Below are 6000 nucleotides of genomic sequence, written 5' to 3'. Positions count from 1 at the left end.
GGCAGGGGCCAAGTGGCAACACTCAACTGTCAAAGGCAAGGTGGGCGTAGCTACCATAATGGACAGCAGAGGCAAAGCGGCAATCGGAATAGTCTGACTTGTGTAGAGCTCTGGCATTGGCTAATTAATCACAGTGTTCGTAGAAGTGAAATTGATAGGAAGCCTACTGCATTCCTTCTTAATTTCTATAAGGAGAAAAATTCTAGGTTGAATGGACCAAAGACTAATTTGAATTATAAAAACAGAGAATCATGGCCTCTCAATCAATTTCCAGATTTGAGCCAGTTTTACAAACCCAGAACCCCTTGAATGAAGGGGAGGCTGGGTCCCCTTGAGGAAGGACCCCACTACATCACTGACAATTTAGGCAGTGAATTTTTTCCCCGCCCTTCCCCAAGGAGACCTCCAGCCTTTCACCAGGGTAACTGTGCATTGGGAAAGGGAAATAGGAGACCTCCAGCCTTTTACCAGGGTAACTGTGCACTGGGAAAGGGAAATGATCAGACATTTTGGGGATTACTGGACCCTGACTCTGAGCTGATGTTGATTGCAGCGGACCCAAAATGTCATTGTGGTCCTCCAGTTAAAGTAGGGGCTTATGGAGGTCAGGTAATTAATGGAGCTCTAGCTCAGGTCTGACTTACAGTGGGTCCCCAGACTCATCCTGTGGTCATTTCTCCAGTGCCAGAGTGCATCATTGGCATAGACATACTTAGCACCTGGCAGAACACCCACATTGGCTCCCTAACTGGTAGGGTGAGGGCTATCATGGTGGGAAAGGCCAAATGGAAGCCATTAGAGCTGCCTCTACCTAGAAAAATAGTAAATCAAAAACAATATTGCATACCTGGAGGAACTGAGGAGATTAGTGCCACCATCAAGGAATTGAAAGATGCAGGGGAGGTGATTCCGATTCCCACCACATTCCCATTAAACTCTCCCATTTGGCCTGTGCGGAAGACAGATGGATGTTGGAGAATGACAGTGGATTATTGTGAGCTTAACCAAGTGGTGACTCCAACTGCAGCTACAGTACCAGATGTGGTTTCATTGCTTGAGCAAATTAACACATCTCCTGGTACCTGGTATGCAGACATTGACTTGGCAAATGCCGTTTTCTCCATTCCTGTCCATAAGGCCCACCAGAAGCAATTTGCCTTCAGCTGGCAAGGCCAGCAATATACCTTTACTGTCCTACCTCAGGAGTATATCAACTCTCTAGGTTTGTGTCATAATCTTATTCTTGTGATGGTTAATACTGAGTATCAACTTGATTGGATTGAAGTGAAGAGGTGAGACTGGCCTAGCCTCCCAGCCTACATCTTTCTCCCATGCTGGATGTTTCCTGCCCTTGAACATCGGACTCCAAAGTTCTTCAGTTTTGAGACTTGGACTGGGTCACCTTGTTGCTCAAACTTGCAGACAGCCTGTTGTGGGATCTTGTGATTGTGTAAGTTAATACTTAATAAACTCCTATATATATGTAGGAGTTTATTAAGTATTATATATATATTTACATATATCTCTATATTTATATGTGTGTATATATATGTATATATCTCCTGTTAGTTCTGTCCCTCTAGAGAACCTTAATACAAGTTTATATTACCAATATTACCAATATTTTGGGGGAGATGTAGCAATGGATTTTTCAATTGTGACTTTTAAAATTCTGGTTTTAAAAATGTTTAAGAAAATCAACTATATTAAATATGTGATTGTATTTTGAAATGTTTAATAGGGTTTGTTGGTGTTAAATAAGGAAACTTCACTTGTTTAATTTATTAGCTAAGTTGTAAAGAAAATAAGTGCCTTGAGTTTCAAGGCTTAAAACAGCTTGTAACAGTTACAGTTTTAAAAACTTTGGATTACTTTAAACATTAGTTACTAAGTACCCATTTCTACACAGAAAACCCTTCCTTATATACTAAATAAATTAGCAAGTGTTACTGAGGGAATGCCCACATGAACACTTCAAGTTGCCTCTAAACTAATTAGCAAGAGGCAGGGCAAGCAGCATTTAGTTGGGGCAGTTAGAAAAGTAGTCAAAGATATGCAATGAACAAAGAACAAAAGCAAAGAGTGACTTAGCTATACGTAACCTGTTTATTTATGATAAAAGCACTGTGTTGAGGAACTAGATCCCTGAAGTTAGATGCTCCACAAAGATGAGGATTTTGTTTATTTTACCCACTGTGGTGGCTCCGCTGTGTTTCCACTGCCTGGTCCACAGTGTGCGTTCACATCATTTTTGTTGAATGAATAAAGGTGGGTTTCAAAGGACCACTTGCTTCAGAACTACCCAGAGTCCCTTAAAACGCAGATTTACAGGATCCTCCTGGGGGACTGCGTCCCCAGGGGTTTGGGAACCTGCATTTTTTTTACAGCCTCTCCTTCACATGGTACACAGTGTGAGAACCACTGAAGTTCAACCTCTTCACCTTGCTAGAGAGAAGACTAAGTGTTTTGCTCAGGGCCCCATGGCTAATGACAGCTGAAAGTAGACCCCAAACTGTCAGGCTTGAAAACTTCATTGCTTTGTTTATTTCCTCTAGCTTTCAACGTAGAGGAAGAGGGAAATAATTCAGCTTCCAGGTTTTGCTGTCTTTTGCTCCGGATAGATGGTTGATTAAAAAGTCCATTTGTCATGGTTTCAGTATCACTTATTCTCCAGCATTATTTCATACTGCATTTCCCCATCGTTTTTCGGACTAGTCCCTATTTTTTTATTTTCCAATTAAAATTAATTTTTGAACTGCCTGTCAATGTCTGTGAACTTCTAATGTTTTCTTATTTCACTTCAGTAGAGCTGTGAGAAAGCGTTTATTCCACCTAAGTAGGGCCTTCAGACCCTTAACCTGTTTTTCTAGGAAGACTCTTGTGGGTCTCCCTTGGTGGAAGCCATTCTCTTACACTGCTGTGTTTGCTTAGGAAATACCAGATTCCTATGCGTGCTTAACAGTGAAACGATTGGAAGAAGCAGTCTTCACCTGTGTAACAACTTCCTCAAAAGAGCTTCATCCAAAGGCACGATTTCACAGGGCTCCTGCAAAGCTTGCTTTGCTTCCCAATTTCTTAGGCATGTTGGACATGCCAAGCCTAGATAAACTATTTGAAGGAGTTGAGGTCATTATTCAGGATCTGTGACCCACAAGATTTCTTTTTGTAGAGTAATGTAACGTTGGGCACCGCCTAAGGAGTAATGGAGCCTCAGTTCCCTTAGTTATTCCTGCCTTTTTCCTTTCACCTGTTTGCACTTTGCATATGAGGAGATAATTAGTAGTCAATTGATTAGCGAGCAATTTCAACATTTTTCAATATACTTAACATAAAGCAATAAAGCAGGCGGCTGAAACAACTAAAACAACAACAGTTTACAGAGCGCGGTTTGATCAGAGAGGCGCACTTTAATCAGAACGACTGGCCTTAATTTCATTTTTTAAGTTGTTAACACTAAAACTCTTTATAAGAGTTCCCTAATTTGAAGAAAAATCCAGCCGGCTGCTTTTTTGGGCGCACTGGTCAACCTTGGCGATTTCACCTGGGGAAGCACTGAAACCGGCCACTCCCCCCAGGGAGGCCAGGGGAGCTGGGCGCGTGTCCCCGGTGCCCAGCCCCAGACCTCTTCCGCCCGCCGCTCCCCCACGCGGAAGAGAACGCGGTGCTGCGCCTAGGAGAGCAGGTCGGGCCTCCAGACCTGGGGCAGGGGCGGCTGGCGTGACGGCGTGGCCAGTGTTCCTGAGCGAGCAGGGGCTCGGCAGCAGAGCGCACCCCGCACCTTTGAGCCCAAGGCGCGGAGATCTCCGCTCATCCAGGCCGCACCCCGGCCCTGCTTTTTTCCGTCCGGACCTAGGCGCCGCGGGTTCTACTGACCCCGCCAGCCAGGGGAAGCCGTGACGGACCCCGAGGCTCGGGGGGTGGAGGCGGCGGGAGACAGAGCCCAGGGAGAACCGCCGGGGCGACGCGGCAGTTACCCTACTGGGTCCTCCCGGGGACGGCGACCAGAGAGCGAGCCCGGGGTCCGGATCCGAGGCAGGCGTTGCGCAGGGAGCCCTGAGACCCGCTGAGTCCGAGGCTGGTGCCCGCCCGGCCCAGCGCGGACTTCCGAGGGTCCCGCGCGCTGGGACACGCCCTCATCCTGGGGGACGACCCCGTGGCCCCAGGCACCGCCTCCCGTTCCCGCCCCGCGCCCCGCAGCGCTTAGGCTTCGGCACACTGAGGACCGAGTCCCAGTGCAGCTCCAGCCGACCCCCGGGACGTAGACAAGGGCAGGCGCGCGGTGAAGACTGCGGCCGGCCGCGTAGCCGCGCTGTGGTCCCGCTGGCCTTCTCTTGGGCCGCGCACCCTCCGGACCTGCGTCGGGATCCTCCCGGAGTCTCCCGCTCTCTCCTCCCGGCTTGCGAACATGCGGCCCCTTAAGCCCGGCGCCCCTTTGCCCGCACTCTTCCTGCTGGCGCTGGCTTTGTCCCCGCACGGAGCCCACGGGAGGCCCCGGGGGCGCAGGGGAGCGCGCGTCACGGATAAGGAGCCCAAGCCGTTGCTTTTCCTCCCCGCGGCCGGGGCCGGCCGGACTCCCAGCGGCTCCCGGAGCGCAGGTACGATGTCCCCATCCCGCCCCATCCTTTGCCCTGCGCCTGGGGCTCCGTGGATTCCCCTAGGAGCTGGGCGAGGCACTCGCTTTGGGAAGCCTGAGATTAGTACAGCAGAAAACAGAGCATCTCTGCAGATTCCCAGCTCTCGGAAAGAGGTCGTAAGCGAATTAGATTTACCACGGTTGAGAGTTAAGTAAAGAAATCCGGCTGGCAATGGGATCAGCTTTCTATGTCCCTTCCCAGGTGTAGGAGGACTTTTTGGAAATAAACTGGTAAAGCAGCTCAAAGACATGGGTTTCAGTCCCACCGACCGAGGGGTGGTGGACAGGTTAGGTCCCTGTCAGCACCCCATTTCTGGATCTTCCGGGGTTTTGAGAATTAACTAAGATTGCTGTCCGTAGACACCTGACCGTGCCAGGAATGCCCCTTTCCCCTCCCCTTTCACGCTGGCCGCAGCGAGTGGCTGAGGAAGCGCCAGTTTCAGCAGGCGGCGGCTTATGTTACTGGCACCTTTCCTAGATCATTTTAGAAGGGCAGCCGGCTGCTCCCAAATCAACTTTGGACAGTCAGGTTCCTGCTACTTAGATGCCCGAGGGGAGTGGAAGGAATGAGGGAGGAAAAAGTCGCTGCTCTAGAGGGTCATGAGACATCCACAGGCAGAGAAGTCGTGTGAATACGGGGAACACGGAAAAGCCCCTGGAAAAGGAGGTCCGAGGGGGCGGCCGGGCACTTGGGGCAGCGCTGGAGGGAGGAGGGCAGGACACGCAGGAAAGGAAGGTGGGGACAGAAGCGAGAAGCTCCTCACACGTTTCTGTTCACACCCAGCAAGAGCAGAGCAAGGTGAAGCTGCCGGCGAGGCTGGGACAGAAGGGCCCCTCTGCGGGGACATTTGGTGGCCTCCACCGGGCTTGGGAAGAGGAGAGGGCCTAGGGTGGCCTGGGGATGCCTCGCAGCTAGCGGCTGGCCGTGGGACCACAGCTCCTGATCCCTTCTCCTCAGGCTTTATGGCTAAGAAAGCAAACAAGGGCTTCTTAGTATGATTTTTCTTTCACAATAGTTGTGATATAAATATATACTTATTCACTCCACAAACTTTCTTCGAGTTCCTGTCTGTCACCATGCAGAGGGCGGAGGCCACCCAGAGGAGCAGACAGCAGTGTCTGCACTCTCCCACACACCTGGGTGTGGAAGGAGGCGCTGGTGCACACCTGCACTAAGTGAGCAGGGTGTCCTGCCCTGGGGAGGGGATGGAGAAGGTGGGAGGCTGAGGTGGGCTGCCCAGCTGGTGTGTGGACAACCCGGGCAGAGCCTCTCAGTCCAGCCGGCCACTGGGGAGCCCTCAGGAGGGGAGGGCACAGGGTCAGTGTCCGCAGCACGGCCATGCAGCAATGGTGCACACAGATCATGC

The 6000-nt window shown here is 50.7% G+C and overlaps 1 protein-coding gene across 1 annotated transcript in view, besides 1 other annotated feature; it reads left to right on the top strand.

Annotated features, from left to right (window-relative positions):
• The first annotated feature begins 4231 nt into the window (after window positions 1–4231).
• Window positions 4232–6000, top strand: part of ALKAL1 (ALK and LTK ligand 1) — a 31394-nt gene continuing 29625 nt past the window's right edge. Inside the window, exon 1 of the mRNA NM_207413.4 lies at window positions 4232–4595. Within this exon, the coding sequence (NP_997296.1) occupies window positions 4406–4595 (190 nt within the window). The 5' untranslated portion in view covers window positions 4232–4405. The remainder of the gene's footprint in view (window positions 4596–6000) is intronic.
• Window positions 5000–5976: an enhancer, noted in NCBI's record as "H3K4me1 hESC enhancer chr8:53476246-53477222 (GRCh37/hg19 assembly coordinates)". NCBI's record gives its function as "activates a minimal SCP1, AML or CMV promoter by ChIP-STARR-seq in naive H9 embryonic stem cells {active_cell/tissue: H9 hESC(naive)}" and the evidence as "EXISTENCE:reporter gene assay evidence [ECO:0000049][PMID:30033119]".

The sequence above is a fragment of the Homo sapiens genome, chromosome 8 (genome assembly GCF_000001405.40).
Source record: "Homo sapiens chromosome 8, GRCh38.p14 Primary Assembly".
Lineage (NCBI taxonomy): Eukaryota > Metazoa > Chordata > Mammalia > Primates > Hominidae > Homo > Homo sapiens.
This window is presented reverse-complemented; position numbering and strand designations above follow the sequence as displayed.